Consider the following 21,274-nt stretch of genomic DNA (forward strand, 5'->3'; position numbering starts at 1 on the left):
CCCTAAGTCTTCCGAAACAAACAAACACAATAACAACAAAACAAAACAAAACAACAACAACAAAAAACCTTAAGAGGCTCAATAATGGAAGAGAAAAGCACTGATGCTACTTTAAGTGAAGGAAAGGCATCCATGCACAAAAAATGGCTTGCTGCAGGCCACAGCAAAAGGTACCACCATTTATTAGAGCTGTCTCATTAACCTTATACCAGTCCGATCTTTAGAAAAGCCAGATATTGCATTTTTAAAACTATCAGCCTGGGCAGCATAGCGAGACTCTATCTCTGAAAAAAATAAACAAATATCTGGGTGTGGTGCCATGTGCCTATTGTCCCAGCTACTCAGGAGGCTGAGGCAGGAGGATTGCTTGAGCTAGGAGTTTGAGGCTGCAGTGAGCTATGATCACACTACTGCACTCCAGCCTGGGCGACAGAGGAAGATCCTGTCTCAAAAAGACAAATAAAAATAAAAATGATCACATTTACATTAGAAAAGAACTGATTCCTGAGTCATCGATTTTGCTGCTGTGTAATTCCTCTTTCTCTAAACAGGGTATTTACCTGGTAATTCCTCATATTATTAAACTTTCTTGTGAGACATTTACATCCCTGGTCTTACTTGCAAATATAAAGGATGATGACTTTTTTTTAAACCAAAATCTCTTAGAATGGCTTTTAAATTCCCTAAGTACTTTTCTCAGAAAGACATTTGGCATAACAAATAAGAGAGTAAAGAACTAAGATTCAAAATTCATTTTTATAAATCTATCCTTAAATCTTGGATGACAGCCAACAACCAACCTCACATTAAAATCTTAGAAGGCTTGACTTGAAGAACATGGGGAAATTTACTTTACATAGACAGCTTCAAGAGCACCTTGTCTATATATCATTAAATAAGATACATGGGAAGAAAAAAAAGCATATGTGGATAGCCCTAGTTTTATTATTTTCACAACGATATCATGCAATCTTTGCCCATAAAAGAAAGCAAAACAAAAATTTTAAAAAAGAAAAATAAATCTCTGGTGCCAACATGTTGTATATTTACTTGTGTAGCCATGACTGCTACGGGCTTTTCGAAGAGAACCGGGCAGCCAGTTTGGATTCCGACAATGCAGTAGAATTTAAGGTGTTATGACTAAAACATGTCCTAAGCAGATTAAGCTAGTCATACAACATTTTAATAAAGAAGTGTCGAGATATTAAGTGTAAAGTGCACTCATTCCTATGAATACCGCAGGAGAAACATAGGTGAGGGGGAATCACACTGCCCTGGATACACATGAATATGCCATCTCCCTGCCTACCTCTACCCAACCCTACCTACACACACCTATCTTTACCACGCAGAGACAATTAAACAGCCATAGACTCTGGATGCATTTCTGTGTCCTTGTTCCCACTGGGTGAGTTGTTGCCAGCCTGACATTTTTCCAAATTCCCTACTAGTGGGCTCTATCAGGTAGGAAAGCAGGGACTTTACTGACCTGGGACCCCATCGCTGTGGGTCTCAGGAGATTTCAGTTTCCAAATGATACACGGCACCACCTAGCTATTGTGACAGCTGGGAGAGTGGATGTCACCAGCAGTAGAAATAAAGTATCCTGTTTCCTGAGGAAAACGCCCTGGCTGTGTGATGCTGACCAAGTGGGCACCAAACATTTCTCCGTGTGATATTTTTCTTCTTTTTAAAAGACCGCCCCCCGCCCCACCGCATCTCTCTATACGTATACACCTCCAGAGTTCATTCTAAAAGAACCAACACAAAGACCATCCATCCTCTAGCCATAAGGTTTTCAGTGCTTAAATGTGGAAGGAGAAGGTCTAGCTAGCATTGAAAGTTGTGGGGACAGGAAGAGGAATCTGATCATTCAACATCCTTCTCCTTCTGGTCAGACAAGAGAAAAACAATAGAAACTGCACAGTCAGGGAGTACAAGACCCTTATGGAACAGGTGCTAAGGAGAGAAGTAGTATCACAGGATGGAAGGCCCCTTCAAAACCAGGTACATTAGCAAGCCCAGAATGTGTAACGGTTATCCTATTTCCCTGCCATGTGCCTCAAAGCAACATGCTCACTTCCACATCCCCATGTCATGAGGCCAGAGGAAGGGGAAGCGAGAATCCCTACACTGGGCCATCCACACGCAGGAGCAGAACAGACACTGTGCTCAGAGTTGCAGGGTCAAAATAACAAACACTGTCCCACAGTCTTAGCCGGTGACATCAAGTAAGGGCAGCGGCAGATCTCTGGATTTGGGGCGCAGTTTGGGGAACGTGGATGCAACCACACGCGTACACACACATATACAGGATTTTACAAACCGGCCCCTATCCCACTGCCTCCCTCCACACTTCACACACCAAGTGCATCCTGCCCACCTCACCGTTTCCATCATCACATTCTTTCTCCAGGAGAGTCAGCCGAGAGATGAGGGGGTCCTAGCGGGGATTCCTGGAAATGTCACCCCCCAACACCTCCGTCCGCCACCCCATCCCCTCTGCTGTACCTTTTACACACACACTCTCACACACTCACTCCTGCCATGACTGTCATCAGGCCCGCCTGCTGCGCCCGAAGCCCGGCATCTCAGCGGGCACCGGACCCCAGGCGTCTCGCTCGCAACGCCGCCTTCCCCCGCCTCGCTAGCTGATGGTTCCAGGCACTGCCTCCTGGATGTCGCCTGCTGCCTCCGCTCCTCCGCACTATTGTTCCAGGCAGCCCCTCTCGCGTCCGGGGGCGCCCTTTGGCGAGGACCCGGGCTCCGTCGGGGGCCGCATCAGCGCCGGGCACCCCTTCTCACCCACCCCTCCCTGGCTGTGGTACCTTGCCTGACAGCTGGGTCCGCGGGCCCGCGGGAGCAGGCGGCGCTAGTGACAGCGCTGGTGCCAAGCCTGGGAATAAAGCTCCGCTCCAGCCGCTGCTGCCTCCAGCGCCACCATCTTCTCCCGCCGCAGCTGCCGCCGCCGCCGCCGCCGCCGGGACCGCAGCCGCCCTCGCCCAGCTCCGGCTCCGCAGCCGCTGCTCGGACCCCTCCGGTCTCGCGGCCCCACCCCCTTTCCCCACCCTCCCTCCCGCCCTCCAGCTAGCTCGCTGGCCCCTCGTGACGCGCGCTGGGGCCGGGCGGGCCTGCGAGGGAGGGCGCGGGGGAGCGCGCGCGCGCACGCCGCCTGCTAGTAGCGCCCCTGCCTCCCTCGCCCACTCGCGTGCGCGCGCGGCCCGCGAGCCCGCGGCGGCGGCGGCGGCACCGCTGATGTCCTCCGTGGGCCGCCGGCTGCAGCGCCCCTGCCCCGGCGCCGGTGGGCGTGCGGCACACCCGCGCCTCTCGCCTTCCCTCGCGTCCGGGTTCCGAAGGGCCCGCCCTGCCTTTCGGAATGGGTTCCACAGCCCCATCCTCTGGCTCCCGGCCGGACGCAAGGAGGGGAAAATGCAGCTGCATCCCCGAGGGGACTGACGGGGGCCTCCACCCTCCTCGGTGGCAACCCAGGTGGTCCCCAGTTTCCTAGCCAGCAGCTGTGGCCAACCTCTGCGCGAAGCAACGGGCCACGCTGCAGGACCACGAAGCCAGGCAGCCGCGTCGACTCCTGCAGGGTGTTCTCTCCGGAGTGACTCCCGAGCTTTCCCGCTTCCCAGGCCCCTTAGATATCGCCTGCGCTTCAAATTCGGAGATTGACGGCGTCTCCGGAATGCGTCGCAGTCCTGCGAGTTCTCCGCCAGGGGGAGAGCCGCGCGGGCTTGGGCCTGAGCGAAGACAGCCGGGCTGCAGCCCTCCAGGGGAACTGCCGAGTCCCGCCGGGGACAGCGGAGAGCCTGCGGATTGTGAAGCCGAGGAAGGCTCGGCTTGGTTTTCCTACCCGCTCCTCAGTTCTGGTTGATCGGAACTTAAGTGTCTTTGAGCCTAGCACAGGCCATCCGCCCTAGATATGGCTCCTAACTCGAGAGGCCACCCTTTGCGGCAGGGACCAGGTGGCAAGTGCTGTGCATTAATGAAAAGCTGTGGGCTAGACAGGCCCCGGGAGGCCTGGGCTCTGGCGCCAGCCCCACCTGTAATTGGCAATGCAATAGCTAAATCATTCCCCCTCTTAGAAACACAGATTTTTCCATAATAATGTTATAATGCACAAAGCCTTGTAGTTTGCAAAGCCCTCTCCGCACATGTATTCTCCAGTAAAATGAAGATAAGCGCTGGTTATCCAGATCCCTTGGGAAATGGATCTTTTACCACACCGTGTTTCCATATTATTTTAAGCACGTCTCTAGAGAAGTCTGGGGGTGTAGCCTAAAGCATTCTGAAAGTCTTGTTTTAGCTTTAAAATTCATATGAATTTTGCATTGTACTTTGTAATTTTTTTTTGCTTTAATAAAACAATAGCTACCTTCTCAAAAAGATTTTAGTAAAATTTAAAATTATATACTAGGAAGATGTCTGCTTGTCCTGTGACATTACTCATATTTTTTCCGGTGAATACTTATTTGGCATATGTACGAGCCAGACATGGTCCTTTTCCACCAGAGCTCACAGTACGCTGAAGGAAATAGGTATTCAACTATCAGACTGGCCAGGCGCGGTGGCTCACGCCTGTAATCCCAGCACTTTGGGAGGCTGAGTCCAGCAGATCACTTTAGGCCAAAAGTTTGAGATCAGCCTGGTCAACATGGCGAAACCCTGTCTCTACTAAAAACACAAAAATTAGCCGGGCGTGTTGGTGCACGCCTGTAATCCTAGCTACTCGGGAAGCTGAGGCACGAGAATGCTTGAACCGGGAGGCGGAGGTTGCAGTGAGCCGAGATCGCGCTACTGCACTCCAGCCTTGGTGTCTCAAAAAACAAACAAACAAATAAAACAATCAGACTAAGTGCAACTGTGATAAATTCTCAACTGCAAAGGCGCTAAGGTGCACGGGAAAACCTAATGTGGACTCTGGGACTAGGTAAGGCTTTCTAAGGAAATGACATTTCAGATCCCCCAGGAGAGGCAGCATTGAGACACTTCCAGGTAAAGGGAAGGAAATGTGAAAAGGCCCAAGCAGGTGGGGCCGAAGTGAGATGAGACTGGAGAGGCAGGCAGACTTTGTGGACCGTTTTTAAATAATGATTTTGTCTTATGAGCCTGGAAAGTCAATGAAGGGTTGCCAAGAGTTGGGAGCAGGCAAGCAGGATCACATTTCCGTTCCTGAAAGATGGCTGAGGTGGTTTGTGAGGAACTGATTCGTGGAGGGTCAGGATCCAGGGCGGAGAGAGTCTGAGCTTATCCTACTTAGTGAGTGTTTAGGGTTTTCTGTTTTTGCACTAACTGCTCTTTTGATTGTTTTTAGTTCTTGCCTCTGCTCTCCTGTGTACGCATCTAGGAGGCTTTCAGAGTGCTTCTCTGTAATAGTTTCTGTTTTGTTACTTTTAATCCACTGCAGTTTTAGGAAGGAAATGAACCCTGTTAGAATTTCAGGTTAAATAAGAGAATATAGGTTCTGAGTGAGAGGCTCTTTTCTGTGCATACACTTATTGCCATTTGGTTTGCTATCTCAGAGATCTTTCTGCTTATTTTCTACTTTTTGTGTTGCCTTTCCAGTTAGACTAGGTTCTTAGATGCATGAATAAGGGTTACATTATTGCTTTAATAATATCCTGGAATCTTACCTCGCAGGATTTTTGTGTAAAGAAAGTTATGTGAAATTTCTCTGCAAAGTATTCAGTGCCATATAAAGAAAGGTAATAATTGTTAGTTATAATGGTAGCTTAGAGACCTCCAAAACTAATTACTTACCAAATGTTCATATGTGGAAATTTCCCTCCCTCCCCCACCCCCATGAAAAACACATATTCCTATTTCTTCTGGATAGCATGAATCATTGTCTTAAGTGCTCTTGTTACTCTGTGCCTTCGCTGGCAGGAAACTCAAAGCCAAATTTTCAGATCATTGTAGGAAATGAGTGGATCCATATGGCATGTAGATCCATGTCTTAATCCCTCCTTTGGTCTTGTTCTATTCTATTTATAGATTTCCTGTGCCTGCTTTATTGATGTTTTTCTTTTTAGTAGATCTCTTATAAGGCACTCCAATCCACCACTCCAATCCACCTTCTCCTGTTAACAGGGTCGAAACTGCTATTCAAGTGTTTCAGGAAGCAGTATATAAAATACTGGCAGCCAGGCATGGTGGCTCATGCCTGTAATCCCAGCACTTTGGGAGGCCAACGTGGGAGGATTGCTGGGGAGTTCAAGACCAGCTTGGGCAACATAGTAAGACCCCCGTCTCTCAAAAAAAAAAAAAAATTAGTGGGCATGGTGGCGAATTCCTGCAGTCCTAGCTACTTGGGAGGCTGAGATGGGAGGATTGCTTTAATCCAGGAGGTTGAGGCTGCAGTAAGCTATAATTGTGCCATAGCATTTCTGCCTGGGTGATAGAGCAAGACCATGTCACTAAAAATAAAACACTGGCAACCTGCCAACCATTGAAGCAGGTAACAATAGTATAGACACTGTGCCAAGTGACTTGGGTTTAAAGTAAAGCCTTAACCACCACTGCATGTGCACCTAAAGTCTCCGTGCATGCCAGTATAAAACCTCATATTATTGGCAAACTTAAGTATGTCTCCCAATGGCTCATAGATAATCTCCTTTAGTTTAATCTCTGAGGTCCCAAACTCCATCAGCCTACACTATACCAATACAGACGGTTCCTGTCTTATGATGGTTCGACTTAGAAGTTTTTGACCTTACTTTTGGGCTTATCAGGGTATTAATTTTTTTTTTTGTCAGTGCCTCACTCTGTTGCCCAGGCTGGAGTACAGTGGTGCAGTCTTGGGTCACTGCAACCTCTGCCTCCCGGGTTCAAGCGATTCTCCTGCCTCAGCCTCCCTAGTAGCTGGGACTATAGGCGCCCACCACCATGCCCGGCTAATTTTTGTATTTTTAGTAGAGACAGGGTTTCACCATTTTGGCCAGGCTGGTCTCAAACTCCTGACTTCAAGTGATCCACCCGCCCTGGCCTCCCAAAGTGCTGGGATTACAGGCGTGAGCCACTGTGCTTGGCCTTAAATGCATTTTTGACTTATGTAACCCCACCATAAGTCAAGGAGTATCTGTATATGTTACCGTCACAAGCACTGTTGGTCACTTGGTAAAAGGACAGAGATTCAAAAACTTTTATTCATTTAGGGTTATTTTTATCAACAAAGACTTGAAGATTCCATGATTCACTACATCCATTCAAACTCTGCAAGAGTGTGACCATATCTTCCAGCTTTTGATATGGTTCTGGATAGCTTAAATTAGACATCCTTCTTCTGACATAAGTTGATACTTTTCCTTGATTTCAAGTTCTTTAGTGATTACCCTCTTTCTGTATCAGTCCTTGAGTTTATGAGCTGAGGTTGTATGTAAGACAAGCATAGAACAACCTTCGGTAATCTGGTTTCTCTTGAGGATTTCAGTTCTGCTAATATTTAATAATCCAGCATAATTCCTAACATATTGTATAGCCTTTTTGGTCACAGGATTTAAAGTGTATGAAAGAAATACACAATTATGACATGTATGTATCATAAACTTCAATAAATTTGCTTGTATATACAGATGCTTATTTCACCAGCTTTTTCTCTGGGCATGAAATCTGTCCAGAGAAATAATGCCCTTCTTTTCTTTTTTATTCTGCAAACAAGGTCAGGCTCCTTCTCTTTTTCTCCCACTGTGCCCTTTAATGAGTCCAACCAGAATTTTGTACTATGTGTTTATCTGATACATTGGAAGACATTCTGGTGCCCCATATGGTAATTCTACCTCTGAAAATGAAGTTTTTGAGTAAATAATGTCATGGGAACATATTGACTTTTAAAAATGGTTGTAATCCCATTCTCTGAACCATACTCCATGGCCAGGGGCTTGGGTTACACTGACTAACTTAAACCAATCAGCTCCCAGTCCTGGAGCTGGGTCAATCCTCCCCAAACCACATGGCTGATTGAGGATAGAGCAAGATCTGGTGACTACAAAAAGGGTGAAATGGAAAGAGGGAAACAAAAACACCACCTTCCCTGTTCACCTCAGGCATATAATAGTGAAAAACTATAAACTTCAATGTAAATGTACCACAATAAGGAAATTGGTATATAGATCAGTATGACTGTACAGTGGAATACTATGCAGCCTTTAAAGATAACCATATGCACAGATTTTTTTTTTTTTTTTTTGAGACAGTGTCTTACTCTGTCACCCAGGCTGGAATGCAGTGGCCCTATCTTGGTTCACTGCAACCTCCGCCTCCCAGGTTCAAGCAATTCTCCTACCTCAGCCTCCTGAGTAGCTGGGATTACAGGCACGTGCCACCATGCCCAGCTCTTTTTTGTATTTTTAGTAGAGACGGGGTTTCACCATTTTGGTCAGGCTGGTCTCGAACTCCTGACCTCGTGATCTGCCTGCCTCATCCTCCCAAAGTGCTGGGATTACAGGCATGAGTCACCGCACCTGGCCAGATTTTTTTTAATAACATGGAAAAAGTTAATTTCACATCTTAACTGAAAAAGCCTAGATAAAAAATTCTGTAGATGGATGGCCATAACTTTAAAAAATGCACAGAAAAGAATACATCAAAATGTGAATGGTAGCTCACTCAAGTAATAGGGTTATTTTCTTCTTTCTATGTTTCGGTAGCTTACGTTTTTTTTTAAACCAACGTACAGATGACCTTAATTTGAAAAACAATAATACTAAGAATGTGGCTGTAAACATTAATACCCCTTACCACCAGATGCCATAAAAATAATTATTGGGTCACTTTGCATTTCTAAAGCATTTTTTCCAAATTTGATTTATCCTTCAAGGCTTATTTTAAACACCGCATGCTTTAAGAAAATGTTTTTAGACTAATTTACTCTCATTGAAATACCTTATCTTCTGAGCATTTGTTTGTAGCACTAGGAGCCTCACAGCCTTTGTGGAATGTCAGGATAGAAATAGATTTTAAAAATGATTAAATTGGTTGCTCATTCCGTTTAACACTTGCTTATATATTTGGTTGTTTCCAAATTTATTTTGACAGTAAAGTAGTTGAATATGATGGTCATCTGGTAGGAACACTATAAAATATTGACATATTTAATTCATCCTACAAACCAGGCACAATTTTACCAGAAGAAATTATGACTATGTGGTTTCTATATAAAATATGCCATTACAAGTATATTTCCTTGAAAATAAGCTGTGAAATTAAGTGCTCAGCAATTTCAGAATTTTTTCTTTTAACATGTGTTTGCTACAGATTTATAACTTTTTGCCATCTTATTAGTAAATCAAGTGGTAGTAAATACCAATGACTGAAGGAAGATGCCTAGAATAAGAATATAAAATTGAGAAAATTCCAATAGATATTTTCCTCTTACCAGTTTGTAGACAAAAATTATATATACATGCATATGTATGTGTATATATATGTTACCATTATTCATTTTTGGCAGGAGTCCCCCTTGGTGCTGTTTCTAGAATGGCACTGACATATGGACACATGATTTAAAATCACTGCTCTATTCCTGTTTTCTGTTAGGTATTTTGTTCCACGTTGTTGGTATCACCTCTCCAAGTTGTTTATGAACCCTGAAAGATCAGTGAGCAAATGTCAACTACATTCTCTTAGTATTTCCTCCACTAAATACGTAGCATATTACGGAGTACCCAGGAAGAACTCATCAAATATTTGTTGGCTGACTGATTATACAGACACTCCTTGGTGGAGTTACAGTTTCTACTCAATGCCTATAGCTTTCCCACCATTGTAAAGTCAAAAAGTCATAAGTTGAACTATGGTATGTTGGGGACTGTCTGTACTTATTAGCTATCTTTCCAGTTATTCCAGTTAGAGTGTTCAGGAAGATTATGTAAATAATTTGCCATTAAAACAATTTCCTTTTCATTTGCTGCTATTTTTTATTAGTGTTCAGTAGTGTCCGAAAAAAGTTATAGATGTGTCCACTGACTCAAAAATAAGGAGCCTGGTAAGACTTTAAGAGTATATAAAATCAGTGTCAGCAATTTTATCAGATCTTTAACCCTTCTGTCAGACAAGGAAATTTTTCCCTCTTTCCTCTCTCTCTCTCAACACACACACACACACAAACACACACACACACACACACACACACTATAAGTGATATCCTGTGAAATTCTATTTCATTAAAGCACTACTTCTTGAGAATTTTTTTCCATATGCTTGCACAATATCAGCATTCGGGATGAACAGTAACAATATAGTGAACAGTCATGACTATATTTAACATTTCCAGTAGGTAATACTATTTTTAAAAGCTACCAAATGATTAGATCTTCATTCCCCAAACTTTACTAATCTAATATGCGCTAGCTACTGTAGCAGGCATTTAAAAGTTCAAGCCAAATATCACAAGCTCTATCCTCAACAACTTGTCAACTTGTCTACTTTAAGAAAAATCAGACAGACCTCTAATCAAATAACTCCAGTGAAGTTTACTGACTGGGATAAAAGACACACAAATGAGAGCCTGACTAAATGGTGTTTTTGTGTTATTTGTTTGCTTTTCTTTTTCTTTTTTTTTTTAATAGATCCCTCATCCTTTATTGTGTATATTTCATCAAAGAGACATTGCAACAGAGTCTGCTGCTTTCACAGATAAAATGCAAAGGCCTTTCAGGCAAAAATATAAGAATAATTCAGTGAAATTTATGAAGTTCTTATGTTTCTAATTTTTTTTATTTTTTAAATTTATTATTATTATACTTTAAGTTTTAAGGTACATGTGCACAATGTGCAGGTTAGTTACATATGTATACATGTGTCATGCTGGTGTGCTGCACCCATTAACTCGTCATTTAGCATTAGGTATATCTCCTAAAGCTATCCCTCCCCCCTCCCCCACCCCACAACAGTCACCAGAGTGTGATGTTCCCCTTCCTGTGTCCATGTGTTCTCATTGTTCAATTCCCACCTATGAGTGAGAATACGCAGTGTTTGGTTTTTTGTCCTTGCAATAGTTTACTGAGAATGATGACTTCCAGTTTCATCCATGTCCCTACAAAGGACATGAACTCATCCTTTTTTATGGCTGCATAGTATTCCATGGTGTATATGTGCCACATTTTCTTAATCCAGTCTATCATTGTTGGACATTTGGGTTGGTTCCAAGTCTTTGCTATTGCGAATAGTGCCGCAATAAACATACGTGTGCATGTGTCTTTATAGCAGCATGATTTATAGTCCTTTGGGTATATACCTAGTAATGGGATGGCTGGGTCAAATGGTATTTCTAGTTCTAGATCCCTGAGGAATCGCCACACTGACTTCTACAAGGGTTGAACTAGTTTACAGTCCCACCAACAGTGTAAAAGTGTTCCTATTTCTCCACATCCTCTCCAGCACCTGTTGTTTCCTGACTTTTTAATGATTGCCATTCTAACTGGTGTGAGATGGTATCTCATTGTGGTTTTGATTTGCATTTCTCTGATGGCCAGTGATGGTGAGCATTTTTTCATGTGTTTTTTGGCTGCATAAATGTCTTCTTTTGAGAAGTGTCTGTTCATGTCCTTCGCCCACTTTTTGATGGAGTTGTTTGTTTTTTTCTTGTAAATTTGTTTGAGTTCATTGTAGATTCTGAATATTAGCCCTTTGTCAGATGAGTAGGTTGTGAAAATTGTTTCCCATTTTGTAGGTTGCCTGTTCACTCTGATGGTAGTTTCTTTTGCTGTGCAGAAGCTCTTTAGTTTAATTAGATCCCATTTGTCAATTTTGGCTTTTGCTGCCATTGCTTTAGGTGTTTTAGACATGAAGTCCTTGCCCATGCCTATGTCCTGAATGGTAATGCCTAGGTTTTCTTCTAGGGTTTTTATGGTTTTAGGTCTAACGTTTAAGTCTTTAATCCATCTTGAATTATTTTTATATAAGGTGTAAGGAAGGGATCCAGTTTCAGCTTTCTACATATGACTAGCCAGTTTTCCCAGCACCGTTTATTAAACAGGGAATCCTTTCCCCATTGCTTGTTTTTGTCAGGTTTGTCAAAGATCAGATAGTTGTAGACATGCGGCGTTATTTCTGAGGGCTCTGTTCTGTTCCATTGATCTATATCTCTGTTTTGGTACCAGTACCATGCTGTTTTGGTGACTGTAGCCTTGTAGTATAGTTTGAAGTCAGGTAGCGTGGTGCCTCCAGCTTTGTTCTTTTGGCTTAGGATTGACTTGGCGATGTGGGCTCTTTTTTGGTTCCATATGAACTTTAAAGTAGTTTTTTCCAATTCTGTGAAGAAAGTCATTGGTAGCTTGATGGGGCTGGCATTGAATCTATAAATTACCTTGGGCAGTATGGCCATTTTCATGATATTGATTCTTCCTACCCATGAGCATAGAATGTTCTTCCATTTGTTTGTATCCTCTTTTATTTCCTTGAGCAGTGGTTTGTAGTTCTCCTTGAAGAGGTCCTTCACATCCCTTGTAAGTTGGATTCCTAGGTATTTTATTCTCTTTGAAGCAACTGTGAATGCGAGTTCACTCATGATTTGGCTCTCTGTTTGTCTGTTATTGGTGCCAGAATCTCTGGGACACATTCAAAGCAGTGTGTAGAGGGAAATTTATAGCACTAAATGCCCACAAGAGAAAGCAGGAAAGATCCAAAATTGACACCCTAACATCACAATTAAAAGAACTAGAAAAGCAAGAGCAAACACATTCAAAAGCTAGCAGAAGGCAAGAAATAACTAAAATCAGAGCAGAACTGAAGGAAATAGAGACACAAAAAGCCCTTCAAAAAATTAATGAATCCAAGAGCTGGTTTTTTGAAAGGATCAACAAAATTGATAGACCTCTAGCGAGACTAATAAAGAAGAAAAGAGAGAAGAATCAAATAGACGCAATAAAAAATGATAAAGGGGATATCACCACCGATCCCACAGAAATACAAACTACCATCAGAGAATACTACAAACACCTCTACGCAAATAAACTAGAAAATCTAGAAGAAATGGATAAATTCCTCGACACATACACCCTTCCAAGACTAAACCAGGAAGAAGTTGACTCTCTGAATAGACCAATAACAGGCTCTGAAATTGTGGCAATAATCAACAGCTTACCAACCAAAAGGAGTCCAGGACCAGATGGACTCACAGCCAAATTCTACCAGAGGTACAAGGAGGAACTGGTACCATTCCTTCTGAAACTATTCCAATCAATAGAAAAAGAGGGAATCCTCCCTAACTCATTTTATGAGGCCAGGATCATCCTGATACCAAAGCTGGGCAGAGACACAACAAAAAAAGAGATTTTTAGACCAATATCCTTGATGAACATTGATGCAAAAATCCTCAATAAAATACTGGCAAACCGAATCCAGCAGCACATCAAAAAGCTTATCCACCATGATCAAGTGGGCTTCATCTCTGGGATGCAAGGCTGATTCAATATATGCAAATCAATAAATGTAATCCAGCATATAAACAGAGCCAAAGACAAAAACCACATGATTATCTCAATAGATGCAGAAAAGGCCTTTGACAAAATTCAAGAACGCTTCATGCTAAAAACTCTCAAGAAATTAGGTATTGATGGGACATATTTCAAAATAATAAGAGCTATCTATGACAAACCCACAGCCAATATCATACTGAATGGGCAAAAACTGGAAGCATTCCCTTTGAAAACTGGCACAAGACAGGGATGCCCTCTCTCACCACTCCTGTTTAACATAGTGTTGGAAGTTCTGGCCAGGGCAATTAGGCAGAAGGAAATAAAGGGTATTCAATTAGGAAAAGAGGAAGTCAAATTGTCCCTGTTTGCAGATGACATGATTGTATATCTAGAAAACCCCATTGTGTCAGCCCAAAATCTCCTTAAGCTGATAAGCAACTTCAGCAAAGTCTCAGGATACAAAATCAATGTACAAAAATTTGTTTGCTTTTCTAAATACATGTGTTTGAGGAAATTACATCAATTCTCAATCTTCTAGAAGTCAAGTCTGTAGTTAAATGAGCAGGTTTTCTTCCTCAAAAGGAATTTTGTTTCCTAATTGTAAAAAATATTATGATCACCTGGATGTGATGGTTTCCATTTAACCAGAAGGCTTGTGAGTTTCTCCCAGGCGAGAAATTGATGTATTTGAAAACACTATGGGCAGACAAATGTGTCTGCTTCCAAAAAAAGAATAGAGATCATCTTCCTAAATGGATGAAACTTCTGAAAGTTCAAAAGAAATGACTTAGTGTCTTTGACATTTTCTATCAAACAGAAAACTGACTTTTGAAAAGGGACATTAGTCAGTATAAACTGTTAAAAAAAATCCACATTTTCTGCTTTTATTTTATTCCTCAGAGAAACTTATCCTTCTTCTGCCTTCTACCTCAAACTCATATCTTTTTATTAAATCTGACTGTGGAGATGCTTCTAAGTTAGGTCAGTTTTGCTATGGATTGAATTTTGAGAGCGCTTTTTAATTTCAACATTCACACAGCCGAGCACTGCTAAATTGAATAGGCTGTGGTTATGGGAACTGCAGGAACTGAGATGGAACCAAGAAATCTGTTACTGGAGAAACCTTTTGAGTGTGGACAGATTTTAAGTCACTCTTAATAAGATATGGTAGGTTAAGGAATAACATGTTGTGGGATTCCGGAAAGCAGCTTTTCACCCTTCCTTGCCGTTTGGGAATTATTTTCGTCCTCACACCACTGCAAACTTAATCAAGAAAACAGAATTTAAATGGGTCTCAGTGAGCTGTGTAGCATACATCTGAAACTCGTGCAACTATAAAATTCTTTTGCCAAGTGGATAGTTAGGGCTGTATTAGTAGCATGCTTCTCAAAGAGCATCAAGTATGCATTTTAATTCTATTTGCATAGAACAAAGAATAATCCCTTAGGCTTCTGTATACTCTGCTAAAAAAAAAAAAAAAGTTGGGGGGGGCGGTGGGGAGGTTGAGAGATTTCAGCTATAGTTTCTCTTGATCAATTTTGAATCTTAAATAGGAAGTGATGTTTTTCCCAAGTCTTCCATGGATCACTAGTTCTGGGGGAAGACAGTAGTTATCATGTGGGAAAAAAAGGTTTCAGGATCAAATACATCTGGAGAACTCTGGAGTAAGCTAAATTGGACAGGTTTTTGTTTTTGTTTTTAAATTGCAGGGCCTCTAGGAGACTTTAATTATAAATTTCTAAGAGGGAACGAGAGATGATGGAATTACCAAACTTACAGTGTTCCTTTCGCAAGAAATTTTTTGAGGGACAGGCAAGGGTGTGTTATGACTTCTGTGGGCCCCTTGCTCCACAAGCAAATATTAAAGATTATATTTTATAAATGGGTTGGTATAAAGATGAATATATTAATAGTCTATAATAAAACATTTTATCTGACCTAAAAGTTCATTTTCTTTTTGCTTCCGATTTTAAAGGAAATTAAAACATTTTCGTGGGCCCCTGCAAGTATTGTGCCTAGGCAATGTACCTACTCTGTCTAATAGGTAAGTCGACCCTGGGTCTAGGTATTACACAGGAGGAATGAGTCACTGCAATAAACCTACAAAATGGAATCTAGAAACACACTATGGCATTTCATCTGAGGTACTGAGATTGTGGCCGCAGGGTCGCTTTTTTTCTTCATGCAATGCTCACTGAAGAAAGAAGTCTAACACACACACACACACACACACACGCACGCACACACACACAGTGGCAAAAAGTAGACTGTGGCAAATCTCCATGTTATTGATTCTATGTGAGCTCTACTCATTCAGTATGTTCCCTTAAGCTAAAATACTACGTCTCTTTTCAGTGTTTTCAATGTAAATCTATATGCGGTTAGATGAACTAGCTGGAAAAGGAGATTCTTAGTTACTCATTTCTACGTATGAATCTAAATATTCATTCATGCTCAGAGCATCTTTGAGAGGAAAAGTTCCACAGCTGAAACTGATGTCACCAATCTTTATTATGGATAAGACTTTCAATTTATGGTTCTATTATTTTGTCACAGTGAACTTACTGGCTAGGGATATTGAGAGATGAACATTATTAATCCTTCTTTGACAAGCAAAGTCTGGGTAAGAAGCTGTGGGTAATGCTCACAGTGGGTTGGACATGATACCAAATTTGACTTTTGGCCATGTTAACCAAATTTCCAAAGACTGATGATTCGTCTTGAAAGATAAATTAGTAAAAGGGAAGTGATATAGTTTGGATATTTGTCCCTGCCCAAATCTTGTGTTGAAATGTAATCTCCAGTGTTGGAGGTGGAGCCTGGTGCGAGGTGTTGGGTCATGGGGGCAGATGCCTCATGGCTTGGTGCTGTCCTTGTGATAGTGAGTTCTCACGAGATCTGGTTGTTGTAAGTGTAGCACCTCCCCTGTCATTCTCTCTCTTGTCTTTACCTTCTGCCATGAGCAAAAGCTTTCTGAGGTTACCCCAGAAGCAGATGCTGGCGCCACGCTTCCTGTACAGCCTGTAGAACTATGAGCCAATTAAACATCTTTTCTTATAAATTACCCGGTCTCAGGTATTTATAACAATGCAAAAACAGCCTAATACATGAAGTTTTGATATAGTCTAGGGATGTTCAACTCAGAACAGTATTATTTGGTTTCTCTACTGAGAGTACATTTACTAAAAAAAAAAAAAAAAAAAAAAAGTTGCCATTTCTTGGCTCAGGAGCAGAGGTAAATAGATTCTAGTGATATACCAGGTATACAGGAGAATTTAGTACATCATAAATGTGGCATTTAAATTAGTGTAGAAGAGATGGATTATTTAATAAGTGGTATTAGGCCTACTGGACTAGCCATTTGTGAAAAAGTTAGCTGAATCTCCATTTCACCCCTTAGCATCAAATAAGTTCCAAATGCTTCAACAGTAAAAATGTAAAATAATGAAATAATAAAAATACTTGAAGAAAACATAATAATGAATATTATTTATAATCTTGAAGCAGAGAAGGCCTTTCTAAGCATGATATGAACCCAGAATTAGAAAAAAAACTGATAAATATAACTACATTCAAATTAAAAAATTTCTATACAAAAATTGAAATAAAAAGAGTCAAAAGAAGAACCCTTATAAAATTGTGCATATAACACATAATTAAAGGCTACATTCCCTCGTCTAAAAAGAGTTTTTACAAACTAACAAAAAAAGATAATCGACTAGAAATACAGACAAGGGACAATGGCCAGTTCCTAGAAGAAAAACAAATCACCAACAGACCTAGGAAAAGATTTAAACAGTTCTAATAATTATAGAACTACAAAAGAAAACCAGGGCAATATATTTCACCTCTTAGATTGGCCCAAACAAGACAAAACAAAATGTGATAATATACTAGATTGCTGATGATGTGAGGACACAGGCATTCTTATTACAGAGTAGTGAGTGTAACAACATTGTAAATGTCTGCTTAGCAATAAGCTTTTTCCCAGAAGTTCCATTTCTAGGAATTTATCATACAGAAATATTTGAGGTATATGTGTTTATTGTAAAATATTCAAACATTTTAGACTTTTTGTATTTTCTCTTTTTTTTGAGACAGAGTCTTGCTCTGTCACCCAGGCTGGAGTGCAGTGGCGCAATCTCGGCTCACTGCAACCTCCACCTCCTGGGTTCAAGTGATTCTCCTGCATCAGCCTCCCAGGTAGCTGGGACTACAGGCGCCCGCCACCATGCCCAGCTAATTTTTTGTATTTTTAGTAGAGACAGGGTTTCACCATGTTAGCCAGGATGGTCTCGATCTCCTGACCTCGTGATCCACCTGCCTCAGCCTCCCGAAGTGCTGGCATTACAGGCGTGAGCCACCGCACCTGGCCAAACATTTTAGACTTTTTGTTATGCAAATGCACAAAGACATATGTGTATATTCAATGTAGTATTGTTGATAATAATGAGGAATTGCTAACCAAAATGATTATCACTCGGCAATTGATTAAATAAATTTTAGTATACCAAAAAAGGAATATTATAAAACATTAAAACAAATGTGAGGAGCCCATGTGTTCATACAAGGGAAATTGTCTACAATATTCTGTTTTTTGTTTGTTTTGGGGTGTTTTTGTTTGTTTTTGAGACGGAGTCTCACTCTGTTGCCCAGGCTGGAATGCAATGGTGTGATCTCGGCTCACTGCAACCTCTGCCTCCCAAACTCAAACGATTCTCTTGCCTCAGCCTTCTGAGTAGCTGGGACTACTCAGGTGTGCACCACCACGTCTGGCTAATTTTTGTGTTTTTAGTAGATGGGGTGTCGCCATGTTGGCCAGACTGGTCTCAAACTCCTGACCTCAGGTGATCCGCCTGCCTAGGCCTTCCAAAGTGGATTACAGGTGTGAGCCACTGCGCTGGGATATCCACAATATACTGTTAACTGAAAACTCAAGTTACAAAACAGTATGTTTAGACTGATCCCATTATTATCTTAAAAATATTAAATATTCATCCAAAAAATTTGGAGTAATATATAGCAAACTGTAATAGTAGCACACTCTCCATCATAAATACCTACAACAGTTGAAACTTTTATAATAAGCATTTATTATTCTTGTACTCAGAAAAAAGTCATTTAAAATTTTTTTAAAGCTTTTAAAAAAATGACCATTCAGAAATTCTAGTAGAATTATATTTTTCCTAAAAGTTTTTTTTCTCTCTCAGGCCCAATTAAGCACTGGATCTCTTGTGGCATTGAAACATACAGCAAGAGAGTTTGTGGCCCATCAGCTTTTTTTCCATATACCTGTCCTCTCTATGGCTGCTAGTGTGAGATGGAATTGAGATCATTACCACCCTTGGCTTAAAAACTCATCTAGAGTACCTTTATTAAAATCAGAAACCTGAACTCTATCATTAGCATGAGATTTCTCTGCTGCTGTAGACTTAGTAGCAATTGTTAATGAGTCACACTATATAATCATAAAAAAGATTAACAATTCTCCTTATAGAAATTTTGGTAAATATAAAATAATTAAAAGAACAAAATTACTCATAGCTCCTTCGCTCAAAGCAACTACTGTTAGCATGTAACATTTTTAACATTTTAAAAATTCATTTTTCGCCATGTCTCCATTTTTACAAATATGTGATCATATTCGGTAAACAATTTTGCATCTTGCTTTCATTATTTAGCACATTTAATCACATTATTTTAGAAATTTCTCTGTAAACATCATCTTAATGGTTATTTAATATTTAATAATTTATCTAATAACCTTCTGAGAAGCTTGACATTTAAGTAGTTTCCAAGTTTTCATTGATAAAAGAAATTATTAGTGAACATCTTTGTGCATAAAGCTTTTTATTTTCCAGGTTTTCCCATTAGGGAAGTTACTAGAAGTGGTACTGCTATTGAAGAATGCAAGACTCTTGATACAAATGGCGAAACTGCTTATTCTAACTTACACTCCCACCAGTAATGAGAAAGGGTGCCTGTTTCATTATACCCATTATTCATTTGATATTATCAGTAAAAACAAAACCAAAATTTGGTAGGTATAAATTGAAGTCTTTTTTAAAATTTGTATTTCTTTGCTACAGGACTGAATATTTTTCTGCCACATCTGTTACCCACCTTTTTTCCTTTGGTCAGTGTGTGTGTGTTTGTGTGTATACTTTCTGTTCATGTCTTTTACCTATTCATCTACTGGGTAAAAGAGTTTTTATAACTTATCGAGTTGCAAGAATTCTTCACATAGCCAAGGTATTCATAAATACACATACTTTAAATTTTGATATAATCCTAAACTTAAAGAGAAAGTTGTAAGTATAATATAAAGAACTACAAAAATCATTTTTGTCTGCAGCATTTTCTGCAAATGTTGCCGCCAGTTATAGTTTTTCTTTCGTTAGGATTTTGTTTAAAATTTAGCCTGAAAATGTGAGTTTATTGGGCTTTTAAAATCACAATTATTTAATCCTTTCTAAGATACATAGTCCTCTCCTCTAGGAAAATTCAATATTAAATTATATTTTTGTCAAAATCTTTTTAAGTAATTTGACTTAGTTTATATATCCTTTTAGTCCATTCAAAAATGAAAGATGAGGCTCTACACTGATTTTTTCCAAAATATTTAGTAATAATTGTTTCCCCAAAGTTTTACTGAATAATCTTTTGTTACTGGTTTTTAATGTCCCATGGATCACATATGAAATTCTCCTAGACAGCGATTATTTTGCAGATGTATCTGCCTACTCCCATGTCTATACTATAGTTCTTGAATTATTATAGCTTTAGACGTAGCTATTCTCCACTAATACAGCCACTTATTTATTTTTCCAAACTTTATAATTATGTTGTAAAGAAAATGTGGCTTTCATTGGCATTGAGTTATACAAATAAGAATTTGCTCTCTCATTGAAGAATGTCATATCTCTTCTTTTGTACCTTTCAGCAGTTTTGTGGTTTTCTTTGTATAGGTCCTTCATGTTTCCTAGGATATTAGGTTATATTGTGGATGGAATCTCTTCCTCTTGCATTTTATTATGTTTGTAACTAATTTTTGCTACTATATTAAGAAGAAACAAAAATGTTATAGAACAAACAAAAATCATTTACCCTTAAAAAATAGAGAGAATGCCTAGCTTTAATTTATGTTACCTCTAGGTGCACTCACTCTTCAAGGTAACACATGTGTAAAATGTACCTGTGGACAACTGAGTAGGTTAACTTGTGTGGGATTATTACTTTACATTTTGTAAGTATTGGGAAAGCCTTCAATAATTATTAACTTTGTTCCAGAATAACTTGTCCAATATACCTTTATTGTAGCAATAATCAGACAGAAGAGTTAGTTCTCTTTAAAGCCACTCTTGGTTTGAGATAACAAAATCATAGTGTCTACACATAAAATAATGCTTGTCTTGCTTTTTCTTTGGTTTTATCTGTTCTATTCAGCTCATCCCCAAATCGTAAATTTGTTTAAAAACAAGCTAAAAAGCAAACCTGTCTTATTCCTGTTGGAAAATTTAGCTGTCTGCCAAGGGCTCATTTCTTCTGAGTCTAACTCTTGTAGCAGTATAGTGTGGGTAGGTTCAGTATGGTAGTACAGTATAGGTGGGTTGCTCAATGAAGCTAGGCTATGTGCATGCAGCTGGCCTAGAACCAGTTCCCATCTGTAGAATCATAAACCAGAGCACAAAAATCAGTGACATAGTCTAACATCCCTCGAGATTTCTCCTCATGGGAGTAAAGAGTATAATGGAGACCTGAGGTGAACTAGTCATGCCTAAAAGCCATCTGCTTCCTAGGAGGTTCATCAAACTGTCCGGGAGAGCTAGATTTAGAGTTTTGAAGGGTGGCCAGTG

General features: G+C 40.4%; 1 protein-coding gene across 4 annotated transcripts in view, besides 2 other annotated features; it reads right to left on the reverse strand.

Moving 5' to 3' along the window:
* Positions 1-3,689, reverse strand: part of APBA1 (amyloid beta precursor protein binding family A member 1) — a 245,482-nt gene extending 241,793 nt beyond the window's left edge. For 3 of the 4 annotated variants that reach the window (XM_005251968.4, NM_001163.4, XM_047423300.1), the window contains exon 1: positions 2,829-3,047. The gene's annotated coding sequence lies outside the window, so the exon portion shown is untranslated. Of the gene's footprint in view, positions 1-2,828; positions 3,048-3,526 lie in introns of those variants that run through there. The other variant, XM_011518617.3, reaches the window with a different exon arrangement.
* Positions 2,815-2,894: a silencer, noted in NCBI's record as "silent region_19934". NCBI's record gives its function as "represses an Ori minimal core promoter by ATAC-STARR-seq in GM12878 lymphoblastoid cells {active_cell/tissue: GM12878}" and the evidence as "EXISTENCE:reporter gene assay evidence [ECO:0000049][PMID:35858748]".
* Positions 3,075-3,124: a silencer, noted in NCBI's record as "silent region_19935". NCBI's record gives its function as "represses an Ori minimal core promoter by ATAC-STARR-seq in GM12878 lymphoblastoid cells {active_cell/tissue: GM12878}" and the evidence as "EXISTENCE:reporter gene assay evidence [ECO:0000049][PMID:35858748]".
* Positions 3,690-21,274: the final 17,585 nt, after the last annotated feature.

Source organism: Homo sapiens, chromosome 9, assembly GCF_000001405.40.
Source record: "Homo sapiens chromosome 9, GRCh38.p14 Primary Assembly".
Lineage (NCBI taxonomy): Eukaryota > Metazoa > Chordata > Mammalia > Primates > Hominidae > Homo > Homo sapiens.